Source organism: Homo sapiens, chromosome 4, assembly GCF_000001405.40.
Source record: "Homo sapiens chromosome 4, GRCh38.p14 Primary Assembly".
NCBI lineage: Eukaryota > Metazoa > Chordata > Mammalia > Primates > Hominidae > Homo > Homo sapiens.
In genome coordinates this window covers 4481937-4504531 of record NC_000004.12, presented here as the reverse complement: position 1 = coordinate 4504531, position 22595 = coordinate 4481937, and the positions used below count along the sequence as shown (strand labels likewise).

Sequence of the window (22595 nt, the reverse complement as noted above, 5' to 3'; positions counted from 1 at the left end):
TAACTTCACTTTTCCTTCTCTGAAAGTAAATACTTCTTGCTAAGTTTCGAGAGGTATCAGAGCTTTATTGTCTGTGTACTCCTGTATCCTGAGTGCCTAATAAAGTCTGGCACAAAACAGATATTCAGTTAAGATTTGATGGATGAATGAATGAATGAATTCCCTGTTTTTACTGATAAGCAACAGATTTTTTCTGAGAGATAATAAATACATAAGAAGTAAATCTGAATAGATCATTTTCCTGATTAAAACACTCCCTTCCAGGTATCTCTTTAGAAAAAAAAATAAGTAATCTCTACTCTAGATTAGAAAGCATGGCATGATCCAGCTTGATTCCTTGAACATTTTATGTTCTCCTCCACCTCACAGCCTTTACAAACGCTGTTCCTCTGTTTCAGGCAGCTCTCATGGTATGCTTATGTTTTTGCTTCATAGAATTTTATTTGTAAATACGTGTTTAGTGTTTTTCTCCCTACCAGATGTGTAAGTCAGTGACCTTTACACATTTTTATTCATGTATCCCCTAAAAGAATTTTGAAAAAAACTGAGTAACCGCTCATATGTATCTATTAATCTGACATCTATAATTCTTTATCGTAAGTTTAAATAATTGCAAAGGATATAGTTTTCAGTGTGCTATAAAACTTGACATTTTAAAGTGGAAGTTTTTATCACTCTTTTAAATATATCTCATGGAATCTGAATACCATATTTGATATCCACCATCATTTGTTGAAAAAAACATTCTCAAAAAACTTTACAGTCATCAATTTTACAACCTTTTCCTCCTTGAACTCACATTTCCATTTCACTTTCCCCACATAATATCCTATCCCGGTTTATGCTTGGAAATATTTTTAAAATTTTTATTTCAGTAATTTTTGGGGAACAGGTTGTTTTGGTTACGTGGATAAGTTCTTTAGTGGTGATTTCTGAGATTTTGGTGCTCCTGTGACCCAGAAATCTTTTATTGATCATTTTATCATAGTTCTGTGCGACAGAAATAGATATGCAAATTGAAATTTAATTTTTAAAAAAATTTCCAGTGAAGACTGAAAGTCTCTAAGTGTTGTATGTTGAGTTCTGTGTTGAGTTACCTTTGTAATTATTACTAGTGTGTGTGGATTAAACAACAACAATAAAAATACACTATTTTATCAGAAGAGCCTCTCAAGGTGATGCATAGGTTTAGTTTTTTCTACTGATGTTGTGTGCAAGTAGATGAATATTACTTTTTTAAAGAATCTGACAAGGTTTAATATCAATTTCATTCTTAACTTTCATTTCTTAGTGACGTTAAGAGCTGAGAACCCTCATTTACATAAACAAGGAGATAAGAAGGGAGCTTTTGTTAGGGCACTGCCACCCCACGCAGTTCTTGGAACTTCCTCTGAATTACATGCCGAAACTGTCATTAACTTTTTTTAGTGACCTGCCAGACGACAACTCAGTTAGATTCTCTATTAATTTTGTTGGATGGAAAAAAATTGGGAGCCCTTGACTTGTGAGAGGCTCTGTTGTCCAGTCATTAGAGTCATTCACGTTCTCAGCTTCCCCAGGATTTCTGAGCGTTGTTTTGTTTGAGGTTTTTATATCCGGGACAGCGCAGCATAGTGGGGTTGGGTTTGGTGAGAACTCTGTGTTTTCTGAAGTAGGAGGAGATTGCATCGGGCATGTGGGAAAGTAGAGCCGATGAAGTGTGTGTCATGGCAGATTCTCATGCAGATCTGCATAGGAAGACAGATGAAGGTTAGGGACCTAGACATCAGTTCCCTTGAAATTACATGTGCTGCACACACACCTTAGCAATTCAGCCTCCACTTCCAGGGATACCCATCCCTCCGTTGTGTGGACTGCTGCTGAGAGCTACAACAGGGCAAAGAGCTGTGTATTTTTTTTTCTTCAACACAGTTTCCTCAACTCAAGGCATCCAGTAAGAACTCAATATTTTTTTTTCACTGATAATGAATACAGGGAAAAACTTTTTATGTAAAATTTGACTCCAAACCTGTGAACCTTTTCAGTTTCATTTGAAAAGATATAAAAGGAAAAGTTTTATCCTTGAGTAGTCTTTTATGCCATGAATTTTCAAGAACAGAAATATTCTTTTACAAGGACAGTTTTTATTGACTCCTAGCTTCTTGCTAACTTAGTAACACTGCCCATTTCCCTAAATTCTTTTTCTCTGTTTTCCCAATTACATTGTTTTAGGTAATTTTTACTGTTTTTCAGGTAATAAGAAGGTTCCACTCAAATTCTTTACTAAAACAATGTTAGGGTGGTTTTGGTACATTTTATACTAATGTAATTTTCACCAAATTAAAAAAAAGTGCTGTCATTTGTTTCCCTTTTGCCTATAGTGCTTTCGAGGTATCTGGCAGATACTTTTAGGTATATTACACCTAATAGAGGTCTTTGTGTGTACATCAAATGAGTATGTTCTATGCTGTTTAGACATATTAACTGCAGATTGGCAGCTTCATCTTTCCATTAATGTGCAGGTTCTTAATGCTTAGGAGTATCCTGGAGCTTTCTGTTTTTCTGAGAAAATCTAATACAGATTTTCAGTTGCCTTTTAAAATGCTATACTTCTCCAGGAAACCTTATCTTTAATATAGCATCTGGTTTTCTGTGAAGTTACAAGTTTGAATCAGAATTTCCAGCTGTGGCATCTGGTTTTATGGAGCCTGAATTGAGAATCAAAAACTGGGTTATGTATTTAAATACCAGAAGTAAATGTTATCTTTCTTTTTATAAAACAGTATGGCATTCGTATTTAAGTATTTCCAATTTGCCGAGTTATTGTTCATGATCTGCTTCCAGAGAAGCAAGATTAAATAACAGCTGAACAGCTTTAAGTGAATAGGTTACATTTTGTTATTCTGTTAGTGTCCTGTGATCCCAAACACTCGGTGTCTCCACAGCAAAAGATAAGAATCATAAAATGTTAGAACGCAAAACAGTCTGAGAGGTCATGTAGTGTGACTCCCCTCATTTTCCAGATGAGGAAACTGAGGTCTTATTTTCCCTCATATAGATTTTCCCTCACAAAATAATCACTAACGAGTGAAAGAATTGGGTTTAATTGCATTAGAATAATCATGTTGTTTACTGTTTTTAAAATGCAGTCATTCTGACCGACAGTGAGAGAGAGGTGGCAGCAATGGTCCTGGAGTGTGGCCTGCCTGCCTAGGAGGCTGGGAGGGGTGCTGTGAGGCAAACAGAATGAGGAACCATGTCGCAAAAATGTGGCTATATTTTAGAAATGCTCCTAACTTTTAACTTTGTAACTCCTTTTTAAAGCTGTTATGTTAAGGAATGACAAAATCAGACACAGGTTCAGTGAACAAAAATACTCTGGTATAGTTTAGCAAAAAGATGTTCATTACAGCATAATTTGTCCTTGTGAAAAATTAGAAGAAACAAACTAGGTGTCCAACAACAGAGAAATTGTTACATTATGGTAAATTTTTTATTTTACTTTATTTTTTTTGATATGGAGTCTTGCTGTTGTTGGCCCCAGCTGGAGTGCAATGGCGCCATCTCGGCTCACTGCTACCTCCTTCTCCTAGGTTCTAGCAATTCTCCTGCTTCAGCCTCCCGAGTAGCTGAGGGTATAGGCGCCCGCCACCACGCCCAGCTAATTTTTGTATTTTTTAGTAGAGACAGGGTTTCACCATGTTGGTCAGCCTGGTCTTGAACTCCTGACCTCAGGTGATCCACCCACCTTGGCCTCCCAAAGTGCTGGGATTACAGGTGTGAGCCACCGTGCCTGGCCAAATTATGGTAAATTTAAGCAATGAAATGTTATGTAGCCATTGAAGGTAATTTTTTAGAAGAATTTGTAATTACATGTACTCATGGTGTTGAGTAAAGTAAGTAGAATACAGGAATTACATATAATATGGTTTAACTTATATGAGGGCTATATGGTCATCCCTTGGTATCCTCAGGGGATTGGTTTCAGGACTCCCTCTGGATACCAAACTCTGTGGATGCTCAGGTTGCTGGTAAAAAGGTGCAGTATTTGTGTATAACCTACAGACATCCTCCTGTTTATTTCTCTGGATTACTTATAAAACCCAATACAATGTATGTACTATGTAAATAGTTGTTATACTGTTTTGGTTAGAGAATAGTAACAAGAAAAAAATCTGCACATGTTCAGTACAGGTGCAGCATCCTTTTTAAAAAAATATTTTCCGTCCATGGTTGGTTGAATCCACGGATGTGGGTGTGGAACCCATGGATACACAGGGTCAAGTTATGTGCATAAAATGGAAAAGCATATATTATTACAGTGATAAAAGAGTTTCTTTCTAGGTGATGTTATTATGGACTGATTTTATTTTCCTCCTTATATTTTGCATATCTCGTAAACTCTCCACTATAAGCAGAAAATAAGGTTGGAGAAAATAAGAATTGAAGAGCTAAATTTTTTTTTAACACCAAGTGATAGAAAACTCTAAAAATCCCATTGAAGATAGGATCATAGACAAATAGTCCCTGATGCCTGTGCTGGGATAGTCACACACAGCTGCCTCACCTCTGCCCCCATGGTGAGGATCCCAGTGGTCAGGGACAGTGACCCATTTGGAACATGAGCAGTTGGGTCAAATCCACAAATAACTGTTTTAAACAGCAGTCATTTTATTTGAAAAAAAAAAAGTCGATTTGAAAAGCCATTTCCCCCCACTGAACGCACATTCTTTTATTCTTTTATTTAGCAAGCAGTTTGGAGTGCCTACTAGTTAGTTCCTCTGACCTGAAGATAACATTCTGCTACTAGTGATTTTTTGCCCAGTGATTGTTGAAGTTTTCATAAATCTCGTTGATAGAATGTTCTATTGTGTAAGTAACTTGACAGTTCCTGTTCTCACCTGGTTCAGGTTTAATGATTAAGTTGGATTAGCTATTGAATAATGAATGTTTGTGTAGAAGCCAGTCAGTGAATACCTATGAATCTGAAAATGCAGCTTTAATCAGTGCTAGGCTTGCTGGGATCCATTTTGCTGTTTCTTTGCAGTACAACGTGGGCAAGCATCTGTGCATATGAAATGCTGTTTTTCTAAAAGGTAAGTTTTTCCAGAGCACAGTATGGTTTTCTTTGCTTTCAGAATCTTTGAAAAATCTTTGAATATTTTGAAGTCCTCCATTCCACTTTATAATTTCAGATTAATAACTTCTTACTACTGTAATTTCATACATTTTATACTACCCCCAGGAAAAAAAGTATTTACTTACTTCAAATTTCTTGTATTGATTTCAGTTGGTCTCATTCCACATTACAATTATGGCTTTCCATTCCACAAGGTACGGTTTAGAGTTGTGTTTCAAATTTGAAATGGGTTGTGCATTAATAAAGCTACTGTTTTTAATTTGAAAGAAAAGATCTTTTAAGGAAAGTTTGTTAGGCACTAGGATAAATTTTTGAAATGTTTGTCTTATGTAAATTCATGATAGCCTCAAATTGTTATTCCTCTCCTAAGAAGTGGCACTTTCAGCTTCTTCATTTGCTGGTTTGGCTTAGTTGTATATTTTGTTTCATATGCCATAACCAAGGAATTCTAGAGCTAGTATATGCTATCTAGGTGAACTTTGTCTTCTTGCAAAAATAACCCTAAATTCTGTGAAACAGGTGATGTCTTACTTATTCTAAAGACCTTCAGAGAAAGAAATTCTGTATTCTTCCTAGTGTTTAGTTTCTTTCGTTGTCCACATCTTTCTCTCTCTTTTTATCAAATAAAAAAACCTAGATCTTTTTCTTAAAACTTAAACTGCTTTGCTATTTGATTTATGCTTACATGAATATAATCTATTTTTTATTATGCTCCTTAAATGTCCTGACTGCCTATTTTGTATTAGTTGATAGTTTTGCTCTGACAATAGTGTTTGTACACCAGCGAATTAGTATCACAAAACTATTCTCCTTGGAGAGATAATGAAGTCTTTGATTTTGGATTGGAGCAATGATATAGATAATCCAAACACAGGTGCTTACTTTAATTTACTTATTCAGTAAATATTAATGGAGTACCTATTATGTGCCAGTCATTGGGCTGAGGATTGAAGATACAAAACAAACAAAAACCACCAGTGCTACTGTGTTCTAATTTAGTGTTTTAAGATATAGTAAGTCTAATAGGGACACCTTTCTGATATATTGGCAGTAATATTATTTTGGGGGGTATATTATCATCATTGATCTTATTATGCAGTACTATTTTGCGAAGAAAAGTCACTGCAAATCTACTTGCTTCTTTTTGCTGGGAGTGCCTCCCTTCAGGGAAAAAAAAAATCTAAAAAGAAAAAAAGCCCTCAACTTTAGGGAAGACATACATACATGAGTTGTAAGTTTTTCTTTATGAGAAACAGTATGCACTGAGTGTCTGTGGAACAAGAATTCCCCTTATCTAGAAAAGGATGACTTAGTTTGAATTTCCTAATTAATACCGTTATTAAAGTCTTATGTGACTGTTTTTAGTACGAAGGAAAACACAACATCGCCCACTTACATGAATTGGTAATCATCCCTTTCTTTGACAGACCATAGACCTTAGACGGAGGCACCTGTGAATACATTCTCTCTGGACAGAGGCATATTACCTCCTTACATTCTTGTGTCTTGGAAGGTAAAGTTGATGTTAGTTTACCTCTGCAGGAACAAGACAAATTTTATTCTAAATACAGTTGATATATCTCAGGAAAATAGGACAAGGTGATCCTGAGGATCGGCGAACACATTTTTTTACTGGCAGACCTTATTTGTATTTAAGGTAGTGATAACATGGTAGGCAATATGGACAGTAATTAGGTGTAAAGATTCTAGAGACAGATTAACTGGGTTTTAATCCAGTTCTGCTATGTACTAGCTGAGGGATATTGAGCACAGTGCTTAACCTTTATGGGCCTCAGTTTTCTCCTATGTAAAACCAGGATAATCAGTTTTCTCATGTATAAAATAATGACAATCTTATTAGGTCATTAATGAGAATTAAATGAGTTAATGTTTGTAGGACAGTATAAAACTCTGGTGCATAGCGTTACGTAAGTGATATTGAATGAGTGAATAGACATTTAGTTAATTCATTGCTGTTTTCGGTTTTAATCACATGTTGTAATAAAGTAACATGTTCTAGTTCCAGGGCCTGATCAGTCAGTGATGATTAAGTACATTTCTCCCCCTGGTTTTTCTGCCCTGATGGTGCATTATAAGCATTTTAGAAAACAGAAGTCTGTGCTCCTCCTTGGCATATTGTCCAGTAATCCTGGGAATTCAGCCTGTGCCTCTGAGAGCAAATTGGAGGTCGAGCTATCCTGACCCCATACCAAGGAGACCTTGTACTGGGGAGTGTGTGAGTCATCTTTTCTTGCCCTCGCCTGGCCCTGGAGCCGGAGGGGGAGCCTGGACAGTGTCCACCGTGGGCCAGTAGAGCCAATCCAGGGCCTAGATTCGGAGCCATCATCCTCACAAACTGCTCTGGTTGAAACGCTGGCTTTGTGGGGTTTGTTTCGCGTAAAACATGAGGAAGCCCACCCTGACATTGTCTAGGCACTCTACTTAAGTCTTCTTTAGATGCAGGCTAGTTTGTCCTGGCCTTATGAAGGAGTTCTCCCCACCTCCTTGAAAGGGTGTGTAAGTCGCTGCTTCCCATGCATATCATGTAGTTATTTCAGGCATCTGTTCTTTTTTGCATCCTAAGTGCTTAAAGCTTACTGAATTTTAGTCTCCTGCATGACACCATAGTGTAACATGACTGGTGGTAATTTTTTCTCCAAACTCATGGTGAGACAGCTGTTTAGCATAGAAAGGATTAGAGAGAAGATGTCAACCTTTCTACCCACAGTTGGATTGGGCAGCACCATCCAAGGCTGAAGAATGACATGCAGAAGCTCCTGATTATAAAATAGCACAAATATGTTAGGCCTCAGCTTTTCCTCCTTAGCGCAAAGGCTTGGGTAAGCTCAGTGGGTGGTGTGGGAGAGTGGATGTTGCATTAGAAAGGGTAGAGACTGCAAAGACAGGGCCACAAGTGAGGAATCCAAGAGCGAGGCTGATGGGGTGAGCGAAAGGGGGTGAATTTAGGAGCCCTTAAAGATGTAGAAGCTGGAGGACTTGATGGCGGGTTGGCTGCAGTGGTTCAGCAGGAGACAGTGATCAGCTGTGAGGTTGTTCTCATAACCAAGACACAGGATCTCACTGGACTGTGTTTGGAGATGGGGGATTATCAAGTTGTGAGAGCCTCAGCGATTTTTGGGTGCCAGTTCATCCTGCTGCCTAGGCCTCTCTGTTACCTTACCACTGGCGTTGCTATTTAAGAAATCAGTGTTCATCTCGCTTATTGGCAGCTTTGGCAAGTCCCTCTGACACTCAGTTTCTTCATTTTTAAATGGAGGATCTTAGATTGTTTGCTTTACCTTTCTCTTGGAAATGTAAAGAATTTATAAAAAGAGAAATCTCATTTTTGAAAGTGTATATGGAAAGTTTAACGTGTCTTAATGAAGGTACATTACTTGAGGAAATATAGTTCAACTATAGGATTAAAAAATTGCGTTATCCGATAATCATAGATGCTCTTATTCACCTTCCCAGTATTTCAAACATGAATAATTTTTAGAGCCTGTAATGTGAATATGGACAGATAGTACCACTGCTCTGCTATTCTATTTTGCATTTTAACTTGTTCCATTTCTTTGCACTAGGATTAAAAACTTGTTTGAGTTTACTCAACAAAATTCATTTGCCTAAAAATGAATTTTATTAGATCATTTTCCTGTTTAAAAATTTGGTCTGGGGGAGGTGCTGGAGGTGGACTAATACAAGATTATCTTTGTTTTTGCGTTTAGTTGTACAATTTAAATATAAAAGAAAGCAAGCCAAGGCAGGAGGATCTCTAGAGGCCAGGAGTTTGAGACCAGCATGGGCAACATAGCAAGACCTCGTCTCTCAAAAAAAAAAAAAAAAAAAGAAAAGAAAAAAAATTAGCCAGACACGCGTGCCTGTAGTCCCAGTTACTTGGGAGGCTGAGGCAGATGGGTTGCTTGAGCCTAGAAGTTTGAGGCTGCATTGAGGTATGATCATGTCACAGCACAGCAGCATGGGTGATGGAGGAAGACCTTGTCTCAGAAAGAAAGAGAGAAAGAGAGAGAGAAGAAAGACAGGAAAGAAAGAAGAAAAGCTGCCATCTTGCGTCCCCATCATTTGTAAGAGAACATTTTAACATTGTTGGCTTACAGAAATCCTTCACTAGACATTTGAGGTCTTCCAATATTAGCCTAGAACTTATATATGCCAGGCACTTTTCTAGGCCCTTTGCATTTCATCCTCACACACACTCTGAGGCATGTACTATATCTTTCCTATTTTACAAGTGAGGAAACTGAGGCAAAGACAGGTTAAGTAAGTTTGGAATGCTGTATAATTCATGAATGTCAGCCTGCATTAGATCCAGGCAGTCTGATTCCAAAGTCCATGCTCAACCTCTTTCCTCTGGCTCCTACATCAGTGGTTCTCAACCCTGATTGTACATTAGAATCATCCAGGGGCCTTATGGAGCAGGGTGGGGAAGGGATAAATAATTTTTACAGGGCCCTACATGAGACCAATCAGATCTTCCCTCTTCTCCTGCTTTCAGGTTAAAAGTCACTCTCTCTCTGTTTTCTAGACCTTTGTAATCTCTTCTTTCCTTGATTTCTTGGCACACGTGGGGCTCCTAATGACCTTTTGCAATTAAGGACACACAGCTTTTTGGTTTAGCTCTGTAAGACAGGCACCATGGAGACAGGGAGATGCTTCCCACCTGTATGTAACCTGCGCAAAGCATTTTACAGGTAACCTGGAGCTTGATTGTTAATTCCTCAGCATGTGATTCAATATATTGTTATTTTTGCATCAGGGGAAGAACAAGGATAGTTAATAAGAGAGATCTAGGATTAAATAGCAACTCTAACATATCTGAGCCACACTGTTCTTACCTATAAAATGGGAGAAGTGATAATATTAGAGGACTTTTGTGAAGATTCAATGAAATATGGAATATGCTCTGTAATGTAGTCATCAGAAATGAATGCTAAATCCATTGCCTTGTAAGTGAAGCACAGCACCGAGACTTGGATATGAAAAATCACTTGAAAGTATGCTGTTCAGTCTTCAGTCAAATGCAAGAAGCCAGGGAATTTGGGGAGCTGGACTAGACCTTAGGGATCAGGGAATGCAGTCTCTTCATTTTATTAGCAAGGATTGAAGCCTGGAGAAGGAACTTGACCAAGGGTACACTGTGAGCCCAAATATATGTACTGTACAATATGTAGTGTACAAATAGTTAATAAATACTTTCTTGGTGCTGTGATCATTATCAGTTTTTACTTCGTAGCATTTGTCTTCTCTATCACTTCAGTGTGCTCATGTATATGTTATGTAACCCTCAAAACAATTTTGTAGGCCTAGCTTACCTGACCCCAGTGTAAGACTTTGAGATAAAATCCTAAAGGATACCACCATGGGATATGGGCTTATGGAGGTACTGAAAAATAACATATATTTACCTTGTTGACTTTTCTTGCATGAGAGGGAAAAGAGTTAAAGACATTCAAACCACATGTGATTGAAAGCCCACGAACCTCTTTCCAGTTCTGTTTTCCCATGAAAATGAGGCTGTTGTATCTTCATAATTTCTTGCATGTATAAGGTTAAAAACAGAGGGGAATGAAGATATTCCAGCTACATTTCTAGTAGAACACCTACATTTTGTTTTTCTAAGCATACTGTAAAAACTTCAAAACAGCATTATGCTTTGCGCTTATTTTAAAACCATTATTAACAATATTTTCTATTGATGCTTTAGTATAGATTTAGACTTCTAGTATCATTGATTATTATAATTTGAATTAAAAGTGAAAATTCATGATAGGTACTGTTTACTTGGAGGACCAATTGCTGTGGAAGTGTGCAGCCTACAATGAAGATAATAAGATGCGTCATTTGAATCAATATTTCTCCCACCTAAACAAAAACAATTTTTTTTAATCATAGAGGAATCATTTTTAGAACTACCAGGTGAATATGCTGTGGTGTCAATTAAATACAGTGGAAACTACCTATTCTTACTATTTACAATTCCTAATCACTTTCTGTCTCTTTCTGCAACTCATTACGTGTACCACGATGTCTTGATTCCCTGAAGTGCCTAGTAAATTTTCTCTTTGTAGGACTATGAAATTAACCATGGGCAGTGGAGGGGGCGGGGGGGTTGGGAATGCCTGTGCCTTTTCCAAAAATTGGGGTTGCTTAGAGAAAATGATAATGTTTAGCATTTTTAGTGGTGCCTAAATGTGTGTAGAGAAACACCTATTTCAGGCCTCTCCAAAGACTTTGATTGTCTGAAAGCAGAAATATTTGCAGTTTGACTTTACTTGGTGTTTACAGTACACTTTCTGAGCACTTTATGGATATTTAATATTGTATGACATGATCAGCAATATCTTTTTTTCCAAATAAGTGGGTTTTTAAAAATATAATGGAATCAGAATGTGAATAACTTTTAAAATTATTTATTATGCAGAGAAAAATCTGAAGCCATGAATTTTAAATCTCATGTAAGTTAAATTTGGAAGTACACAGATTTGCCCAGAATCTGAATTTTATAAGCCTTAAAAACTTTGACATTTTAAAAATATTTGAGGAGTTTGTTATTACCATCTCTTAAATGCACACATTTTTTTCAGACTACTAGGGAAGAGAGTGGCTAAGCAGAGCATTGTTGACTGCCCCAGACATCCTCGACTGGTTTCTAAATCTGAAATAAACTTCTTAGTCATATGGTGATAAGCAGAATTCAGAACATGTCTCTTTTTTAATGCATGTGAAATAGAAAGTGATAGTCATCACAAAATGAAATTTGATTTATGATGTGTTGATGCATCGTCATACTAAGGCACGCTGAAAAATATTTTCAGTTTCCTAATAAAAACAAAGTGACCTCCCCATGAGTGATTCTCCTAATTGTTATTGTCAAATGCTTTTCTTTATGCTTTTTTTCTTGCTCACACTCAGATAATCTACAAACACTGTTTGAATCCTGTGTTTCACTTTCTTTTCTTATGAAAAGTTTTCAGTGAATATAGTCCCTGAGCGAATCCTTTCCAACAAAGTACTTAACTTTCTATGCACACAATTCAAAAGTCAATTAAATGTGCGTGATTCATTTATCACAAAGAGTACCACCTATACTCTGTGGAAAATTCTTTCTGTTCGAAAGAAGGTTCTTATTTCTAAGAATGAGCTCTGATTTTAATTAAATAAAGAGCATTTTATGCAATTTTTTTCTAAAGCTTAAGATTAATTTCTATGGTTACTAGGGATATAAATCTCTAGATTGCTTTAAAACAAAGATTTTTGTCCAGGAGAGAGTTGACAGCTCCCTATAAGAGAAGCTATTACTTAATTTTTCTTTCCTAAGTTTAAACACATAAAAATATTTGTAATGATACCCCAAAGGCATCATAAAAATGTAAAATAATTGTACTCTAAAATATCTAAAATTACAGGAAATAGACCTCATTTTAAAAAATGAACTGAGATTCATGGCTGGGTAACCGGAGTGTGACATACTTCAAAACCAGAATCTCTTGTCAGGATACTTTTAGTTTTTTAATGGCTAAAAAAAGAAGTCTTTTGTCAATCATAAAAACTTTAAAATATGTTCATTCTATTAGGAAATCTTACTTTTTAGTTTCATTACCTTTAACGTATATTACACTGTGGCTGCGCTAGATCCCTTTGAGAGGCACATTTCAGTCTTTAGAATTAGGTGGCATCACTAGGCTTGTGATCAACGATATCACAAGACAACCGTTAGACTGTTTTTAATGATTATTTTTTAAAAGTACATAGCCATTTTCTAAGCAGCTTTGAAAAAAGGCAGCATAAATCGTTTCCAGTGTCTTACTTACCCAAAGTATACTTCCTCTTTCGGTAGATGATGTTAACTGGTAAATTGTTCCCAGGTTAAAGGTTTGTCATATTTTAATAAATGTAGTGTAAAATCTATAGTAGAGACACTTCAAGGAAAAAACCCTCAACGTTTTCAGTAAATGAAATTAATATATATCCTTTTTCCTACGTTAGTATTATGGTATCATTTCTTTTGTTATTTTTATTTACTAAAACTTTAATTGAGCCTTATATAGTAAAATATCCTCATGTTTTTAGGAAAAGTGAAATTAGATTTATAAAATGTCCAGACTGAAGTTTTGAAAGAAATGGCATTTTGTATATAATATGGATGAATGCTGTTGAGGCTAGACGTGCTCGTAGTTTAAAACATGCCTGATCCGGGAATGCTTTGCATTAAATGAGTTTATATTTTGAGAGCAAAACAGGGAAAGAAAACACTTTCCTTCTTTTTTTTTTTTTAAGAGACAAGAAAATTAAGTTGAATGCGTATATTGAAAGTGCTATAAGCCGAATGTTTGAACAACAAAAGTAAACACTGATTATTACAAATGTACATTTGGACCACGTTGCTTTTATCTTTCAAGCAAAACATTTCCCACAGTTTTTGTGGGTTTTTATTTAAGTTGGGAAAACTTCGGAAGTTTGTGTGAAAGTATAAATAAGTTTGGAAATGTCATGATTAGAGTTTGATAATAAACATGCAAAAGCAAATGGGAAACTCTATTAAAGTCAGATGTAACATTAAATAATGTTTTCTCTAAAATGTATTTGCAGAGAGAAGAACAGTGATTTATGTGGATTTGAAACAAAGACTTTGGCTGTAATTTAAAATAAAGGTTAAATGTGAATTCTTCAGCCTGAACATGGATGAAGTTTTTTGTTTTTAAGAGCTTCCTTAGTGATTGTTATAGGAGCCTCTGTGCCCTTTTCCAATTATGGGCACAGAAATTATGCATGTATTTATAGATTCCATGTAAAAAAATTCTTAGTTTCCAATAAATTTTAAGCTGCATTTTACGAAGTAAGCATCTGTAGAGAACCTTTTGGAGAAAAAATAGGAGGGAAAACGTTTCAGTTTATGTAATTATTGAAATATACCACTGTATAGAGAATGAATAGAAATTTAAAACCGTAATCTGAAATTTGTTTTAAATCTCATTGTTATGAGATTGACCTCATAATTGCAAATCGGCATTTTGTGTTCAGTACAACTCCAATTCTTAAGGAAATTTGTCTGTTCTATTAGAGTAATACTGTAAGTTTAGGAAGATGCCCCTTTGGCTATTGTTACATATGGGCCCTTTTGAAAATAGTGGTCATGCTAATATTTGATCAGATAATGCTGACTAATGCTGTAGAGCTTTCGAAAGATTTCTTGAACATTGTCAAGTTTTACTTTCCTTTCTTAGGTACATGACTGTGTATCTCTTAAAAGTGTATATGTATTTGTGGGGGGCAGTTAGTGTTACATTTTTATTGTAAATTTATTACAGTTCGATATGTGATTTTGAGTGAAATTCATTGCAATATGAATGAAAATTTTTTGTATGTATGGTGTTTCAAATGCTTTACCTAATTAATTGTCTGAAAAACTGTTAAAGGGGATTTAAATTGCATATACTAGTTTTACATTTAAAGCTTTCACACTGAGCTGAATTCAGATACAGGACCTTAAATTTTTTGTCCAAAGAAAGTAAGAACTCATGTAGAATGAAAAGATATAATTTGAGTCTCAAAATCAAGATCTTTAATATACTGCTCAGGACCTAACTATTATTTTTCTAGTAGTTTTCACACATTTTTTTCCGGCAAATGTTATGTTACGGAGTGATTATTTTGTGTTACTTTGTACACTTAAGGAGCAATCCATTTTTAGCAGTTGAGCCCTCATTTTGTAAAACTAAGCTGTTGGCAATTTGCTAGTTTCTTTAAATTCTAGAAACCACTAAGTTTTACCTTTTCATTTATTTCCAAACAAAGAAGATGTTAGAAAGTTCTGTAACTTATCTCTTGAAATAATATTTTCTGGCCGGGTGTGGTGGCTCATGCCTATAATCCCAGCACTTTGGGAGGCTGAGGCAGGCAGATTGCTTGAGCCCAGGAGTCTGAGACCAGCCTGGGCAACATGGCAAGACCTCGTCTCTACCAAAAAAAAAAAAAAAAAAAAAAAAAAAAAAAAAAAAAATTATTTTGCATGTGTATTGAAGTGCTTTGAGTTTCTTGCCTTGTTCACTCCAAAGACGATCATAATGACTTTCCTCATTATAGGAAAAAGGAAAAAAGGGATCTGTATATTTTTGAGGACAGGGAATGATGAAGCAAGACCCTGGACTTTGCTTGGAATTTGGACATTTGTATTATTGGTCAAGGCCAGCATACTCTGCATTTTATTCCCATTCACTTAGTTGAAAGATGACTTTGGAGGCAAGGACATATATCTTGTTACCAAACCCTCTTTCTCAGAACTTTGAGATAAAATGAACATTCATTCCTTTGCTTTTGTTTTTGCTAAAAGAGAAAAAAAATCAGTTTGAGTAAAGCAAAAACATTTCTACTTTTGGGGTTTGAATGATAACAAAGCAGTTGAGATTAAATTATTGACATCTGACAAGCAGAATGGATGTTGAATGTATGTTCTTGCTATGGGCCGCTTGAAGTTGCTTTTGCTATTCTCTTTGCTGATGTGAAGCAGAAAATGAACAAGGTAACAGTTTTGATGGTGAGATTAGAGGTAGCCAGGCTGACTGTCTCCTGGCTCTTAGAGACCCTTATAAGCTCAGGGCCACCCCCTCCCCTTGTTTAGATATTACTTGCTCTTTTGAGTTTCAGATTACAGGAGCAATTGGTCTGCATGACCTATCTTAAGAACTTTAACTTTGCAGTAGAAACTTAAACCAAATGTATATCCTCAAGAGACAAATCATCTTAAAACTAGGCTGTTGTCATTTTGATGTACTGTACTGCTCACTGAGGAACAGTGTGGTGGAGAGCACCACCTAGTGGATGGGACCCATACTTGATGGGCTGTGTAGGAGATTTCGTCTACATTGATGTAACTCTTGCCCTTGTCTTGCAAATAAGTGATTTTTAATCGTCCTAGCACATATTTTTAAGTAGCGCTAGGACCCCAGGAGAATGAGATTGGGAGTAGTTGTGAGATATGTCGGTTTTCTTTGTAGTTTTCGCACTTCTATAGGTGTATGTACTGGTGCTTGACATCTCCACATTCTTATAAGCTGATATTATAATTCAAACAAAACTTTTTTTTTTAAATGTCAGTAGGGTAGTATTTAGTCTTTGGGAATTTTGTGTTTTTGAGTGCTTATGTTCAACCTCGGTAGTAAGAGACGGCTTTGGATAGAACCTGTTTGTTGCCACAAACTTTATACTATGCTGCTAATCTGTTCACCTCACGAGAGGAGGAGTTGCTGCTGATTATAAACTGTAGGTCATAAATTGTTACCTGCTTGTCATAGAGACTATATGCCTTTTGAGTGTACTAAAATATTTGCAAAAATTAGATGAAACAATTCCACATTTAAAAAAAAAACAACTTTTAACACATCATGACCACAAATTTTAGGTACAGCCATTCCTTGATATTTATTTTAGAATGTCAAATTCTTGATAAAATGTATCACCTCTTCGTTTGTTGAATGTTCCTAGACATTTGTTGAGCTAGGAACTATGCCAGGCTTTGGGAATCCAAAGTGAAGAAGACATAGTTCTTTTTGGACTTAGAATTTTTTAAAGTTTTAAAATTCTTCAACACAAAAAGAGTGAGCGTATTCCTGGGATGTGGGATGTATTATGTTGGGGTATAAATACATTTTTTTGCTTAATATTTTCTGACATTTAGCAAATGCTTTTGAAGAAACTGCTAAATAAAATTGATGGGTTTGTTTTCATGGGTTTGGCAGGGGGGAGGCGACAGAAGGCTGCAGGTAACACCTCTTTGGTTTCGTTCTTCACTGAGTTTTATCCTCGGAGAGCCCAAGTTTGGAGGCATAGAGTGAAGAATTTAAGAGCACAGGCTTAGAGTCTATTCCAGAGTATGGACCCTGGCTTTTCAACTTGCCAGGTGTGTGCCTTTGGGCAAGTGTACTCATCTGTTTTCTCATTTGTTGTGAGGATTCAATGAGATAGTCTATACAATGGGTTTAACATGGTGTCCGACACATAGGAAACACTAAATGTTCAATATGATTTATTATGATGATGATTTGGAAGTTTATTATGATGATGATTTGGATGATTCAGTGTAGGTGGTTCTCATGGTGCACTCAGTCTCCCCACCACCTGCAGGCCCCAGATCCCTGCTTAGTGTGACCATGCAGACAAACCCCCACTGATGGCCAGCAGATGTCTGCGGGTGCTGAGCTAGAAAGTTCAAAGTTCTTCCTTATGCAGATGATGTTTACAGAAAGAGTGTACCCTCGTGTGTCTCGTGTGTGTGTGTGTGTTGAACAGTGTTTACAATCAGAGGCACTTAACCTGAGCTCCATGAACCAAAAGCCTCTGAAGCTCAAAATGACAGGCAGAAAGTTTTTTGTTTTTGTGTATATGTTTATTTCTTTTATAGAAGAGATCAGATTCATAGCTTTTGTCAGTATCTCAAAGGCATCTGTGCCCCTAAAAAGGTCAAGAACTATACTTTAGATGTTCGTGACTCTGTGTAAGGCCACTGGAGAAATTTAAAATATAGTCCCCTCTTAGAAAGTGAAACTCAAATATGAATTTTGCACTATTTGTTTTTGAAGATATGTAAATAATTTTAAAGATAGAGTTGATATTTTGAGGAACTCAAATATGAGTAAAATGTTTTTTCCTCTCGCCCCTCTTGTCAAGGTTCTGAAGAATTTTAAGAGCAAGGAAAAGTTAAGAATACAGGCTATGGAGTAGACCTAATTTCAAATACAGCTCCGACACTTCCTAATGAGTCCTCAAGCCAGTTAACTTGGCCTCTCTTCTCTGTAAAAGAGGAATCCTAGGGGTACCTGCCTCCTAAGTTTATAATGAGGATTAAATGCAATAATCTGTAAAAAGCCCTTACAATTCTTCTTGGCATATAGTAAGTACTATAATAGTGTTTGCGGTGATCATTTTTGTTGCATATTCACTCAAAAACATTTATAATGTATCCACATTCGTTGTCTGTTATGAATTGTCAAGGTAATTCTTTTCTTGTCTATTTTACCTCCATCTTATTGACATGTGAATGACATTTCTGATTTCTTATGAGCAGACTTTCCAAAGTTCTGCAGCTGAAATGCCCTAAGTCTGATAACCTCAGTAACTAGAATCCCAAATGTACCTGGAGCCTTAGAATGATTTTGGAAGCTTTGGAAAGCATAAAAGTAGAAAGAAACTGACGGGGTTGGTGGTAGGAGCTTTCAAATTGATTGAACACCCAAAAATTATCTTGGAATTTCTGAGCTGGAAAGCATTTGGGGGTTCTTTCCATGCAACCTTCAAAGCACACAAGTGAGGAATTGCACATCACCCGGTGACTCCAAAGTCAGAGAACCAGCTGGGAGTTACCATGTGCCTGGAGGCGCTGTCCCCGCCCTCTGCCTGCGTGCTGACCATCCACCACTCGTACTTCTAAGAGAGCAAAGGATATAGGCTGCTCATGGAATTCTAGTATAAGCAGTGATCCCAGAAAAAGTGTGTGGTGAGTCAAAGACTGTTCCGTGCAGGAAAGTACCAGTAGCATCGAGAAAAAGGAGAGCTTTGGGAGCAGGAGAAAAGATACGGAGGAGAGCGCATAGGGGACAGGGCAGGGACAGGCTGCACGCTGTAGGTGCATCCCACAGAAACCTAATGGTAGGAGGTTATCTATGTGTGCTTGGCAGAAAAGAAATGCCTGTTTCAGCAGTGCCTGCCGTCCACCCAGCGTGTGTGAGCTCTGGGGTGAGGGTGAGATGGGGCTTGCGAATCTGCCGTTCCCATCATTGGTTTTGTTCCCTAGGGCCTCTTCTACTAAGAGTATCTTGCTTACTGCCTGCGAGTCTAGCATTTTCACTGTCATCATGTCTCCTAAACTCAAACCAGCCACTTCCTCTGATTCACAACTGAAGAAATGGCAGTCTTTTCCAACACTGGGCTGGGGGCACTGGCTGGTTTGAACCCATTGCAAGAATGTGTTGAAGTCCAGAGTGGCCTTGTGGCCTTTTAAAATTGTCATTTGAATTGTGTATGCTTTTCACCTTATGCACTAAAGTTCACCTTGCCCTATGGGTGAGACTGAAATAGTGATGAAATGAAGAAGAAAACTTAGAGTAGTTGAGCACCTACTGTGTGCCAGACACAGTGTCAGACTCTTCACAGACATTATTTTCATCAGTGACCTGTAGTCACCTTCAGCATTATTACTGTCTCAAGTTTATACCTCAGAGATGAAGGCTGGAAGAGGTTAAGTGACACAAAGCCATGTCACTAGTAAGTGGCAGAGCTGGGATCTGAACCCAGGTCTGTTTTACCTGGTTTCATCCTTTGCAGTATGGAGACTCAGAAGAATGCAGCATGCATGCACACTCTCCACACACAGCCTCCAGACCAGATGGGGTTTGGATTGAAACGCAAAGCAGTGCGAAGTTGGGTCGGATCCTTGGGTTGGAACTTCTTGTTCTGTTCTCCCTCCTCCCTTCCTCTTTTCTTTATTACCTCCGTCCTTAATGTGCCTGGCCCATGCTGGGTCTTACATATTTGTCAAGTGAACAAATGAAAGAAAGTTTTCCAAGCACACAGAAAAGAAAGTAGTCATTATTAACCGGCAGGGATTCAGAAGCCTGAGCCATGTCTTTCCAGCCTATTGTGTAGTTTTGGATTGGGTTGTTAGGCAGGTAGGGGAGGAGAATATTTGTTTTTAGACGGCAGTAGTTAGCAAAGCCTCTCCGTGATGTTTTTGTGGAGGAAATGTTTTTAAAATAGACCCTTAGGGTGTTCGTGACTAGTTGAGCTGGCTGTCTACAGGGAGGGGTCTCCGGTTCTTTGTTACTTTTTATATCCCATTTTCATCTCATTTTTTGAATGATGATTTTTCATTATAGATGTCTTTAATGGCATAATGATCAGAATTGCAAATGACAGGAGGCCAGGAAAAATGTGCATATAATGAAGACCTAGTTTATCAGCAGCACTCATGGAAAAAGTCATTTTAGTCGATGTAAATTCAGCTCGACTCAGTGACATGAAGGTGAGCATGCCCTTAAGTGGCATTACTAGAAGCCCAGAGTCTGGAACAAGGGAAGCAATGGTTCTGTTTTCCTCTGCACTTTCTGCTGACACAGAGAGTATTGATTCTATTCTGGAAACTGTATTTTATTTGGGAGGCCCATGAACTATTTTCAGAGGTAGTAAGTATGGCCAGAAGCCGCAGATGTATTTCATATAAAAAATTCCTGAGAGGAAGGGGCCGGGCACGGTGGCTCACACCTGTAATCCCAGCACTTTGGGAGGCCAAGGCGGGCGGATCACGAGGTCAGGAGATCAAGACCATCCTGGCTAACATGGTGAAACCCCATCTCTACTAAAAATACAAAAAAATTAGCTGGGCATGGTGGCACGCACCTGTAGTCCCAGCTACTCGGGAGGCTGAGGCAGGAGAATCACTTGAACCTGGGAGGTGGAGGTTGCAGTGAGCTGAGATCATGCCACTGCACTCCAGCCTGGGCAACAGGAGCGACACTCTGTCTCAAAAAGGAAAAAAAAAATTCCTGAGAGGATTGGGAATGATTAGCTTGGAGAAGAGAGAAGACTCAGGTGGAGTAGATCACAGTAGCTGACCTCGATTCAGAGTAAGAAAGAACTTTTTACTGTCTGAGGTGAAATGGATGGCCAGGGAGAGGCAGTGGGTGCCCTATCATGCTGCTCTTTTGGCAAAGCAGGTGTCTTCTAGATCCTTGCTAGTCTTAACCATCCAAGCAGGGAGGTAGTCACTGCTCTGTGTGTCATCTAGCCTGTTCTAGGCAAATAGTAAGGTCAGGTAAACCGGGAGTGGACAGAGCTTCAGAAATAGTGGGAATGTGTTCAGTAATGCCAAATAATTGTAGTTTGGGGAACTAGAAGAATGGGAATGAAGATGTTTAATTAGATTGAAGTTAGTAAGTTGGGGCTGGAAGGAGTGAGGAGGAAGAGTTGAGTGCATAATAAACATTTGTTTTTTTCTATGGGTGTAAGAGTCCTAGAAGTCTTTTAAAATGGAAGTTGCATTGAGTTTAATGGGAATCTTAAGCATTATAAGGTGCCACTCAACTTTTGAAATTAAATCATGAGTTCTTTGTGTCATCAACACTAAGATTCTAGGTTTTTGTTTTTTTTAATTTCTGGGTTTCTTTAAAGATGATAGGGGCTTAATATTAGAAAGGAAGCTATACGTTCCAGGTTGTTAGAAAGTTAGTTGCTAATATGAGAAATTAGACTGCTAAATCCACCTACCTAGTGTTAACCACCCATGCCCCCCTGTTAACCAGCCTCATTGTCTGTTACTTGAGACTCTCTGCAGTAAGAAGGTTGGATCTAGAAAAGTCAGTCTCCTCTTTTGTGCACATGTTTTCTCTCCTTCTGTCTCTAAAAAGACATATGCTGAATTCTGGAAGCCGCAGTCCCGTAAGATTAGTATTGGTTCTTAGCAATAGGTTATTTAGCTATTGATTATACTTTTCCTAGGTTAAGATGGCCTTATTTATTTTTTCTGGTAAGATTTCCAGACTGATGGAATAAAGAACTTGATATATTCAGCTAACATTTATCACTTACAGCTTGCCTCAAGGAAGGTGGAAAGTGAACCCAGAATACTATATTTTAAAGCCTCCTTGGGCCTGCAATTTTGAGTAGAAGTTGAGTGATGGGAATGAAGACATTCTGGGCAGAGAGAAGCAGGTGCCAGAGTGCAGGGCAGAGAAGAGGAGGCTTGCTTAAGGAAAGGCTCTGTGGTCTGGCACGCAGGTGGTTGCAGGAAGTGCAGGAACAGAAGCTGGTAGATGGAGCTGGCTCCTTTAGCCAGTGTTTAACAAGGTGAGTGGATGGGACTGACTGACCAATTTCATTTGTAGGGTGAAAAAGAGAGAAGAGTGTAAAATGGCCAAGGTGTTCTAACTTGGAATCTAGAAAGGATGAAGACTTTCTCTTTGGGGCCGTCAGAACAGGAGGGACTAGGAGTAAGCCAGAGGGTGTGAGTGGCTGCATGAGGATACCGTTGGGACATATTGCTTTTGAGGCGTCAGTGGGACACACAGTGGCAGTATCTAAAAAGCATTTGGATACACTCAGCTTGAACACAGGAGGGAGGCAGCGGCTGGGTGGACAATTCATGTAGACAGTAAATAAAGCTATGGATTGGAATGAGTGAGCTTAGCAAGAACATGTAAAGAAAGAGCCAAGGGCTGAACTTACAAGAAGTTTCAGAGATTAACAAAGGCAGAGAGGGAATGAATGAAGGTGAAGAAAAGGAGTTATAGGTTTTAGAAAAGAACCTAGAGACAGTGGTGTTCTGGAACCCGAGGGAGGCTAGTGCTTCAGGAGGGGACAAGGAAGGAGGAGGCAGGAGCAGGGAGGAGAGCCATCCGAGTTTGGTGAGGCCTGGTGAAGAGTGTCCCCCTCAGTAGGAATTGGGGGAAAGTGACAGGAGTTGCTTACT

At 37.9% G+C, this 22595-nt stretch overlaps 1 protein-coding gene across 4 annotated transcripts in view, besides 2 other annotated features; it reads left to right on the top strand.

Annotated features, from left to right (window-relative positions):
- The window catches only part of STX18 (syntaxin 18), a 123376-nt gene that overhangs the window by 37812 nt on the left and 62969 nt on the right, over window positions 1-22595 (top strand). The window lies entirely within an intron of this gene.
- Window positions 14232-14411: an enhancer, noted in NCBI's record as "active region_21228". NCBI's record gives its function as "activates an Ori minimal core promoter by ATAC-STARR-seq in GM12878 lymphoblastoid cells {active_cell/tissue: GM12878}" and the evidence as "EXISTENCE:reporter gene assay evidence [ECO:0000049][PMID:35858748]".
- Window positions 15919-16038: a silencer, noted in NCBI's record as "silent region_15214". NCBI's record gives its function as "represses an Ori minimal core promoter by ATAC-STARR-seq in GM12878 lymphoblastoid cells {active_cell/tissue: GM12878}" and the evidence as "EXISTENCE:reporter gene assay evidence [ECO:0000049][PMID:35858748]".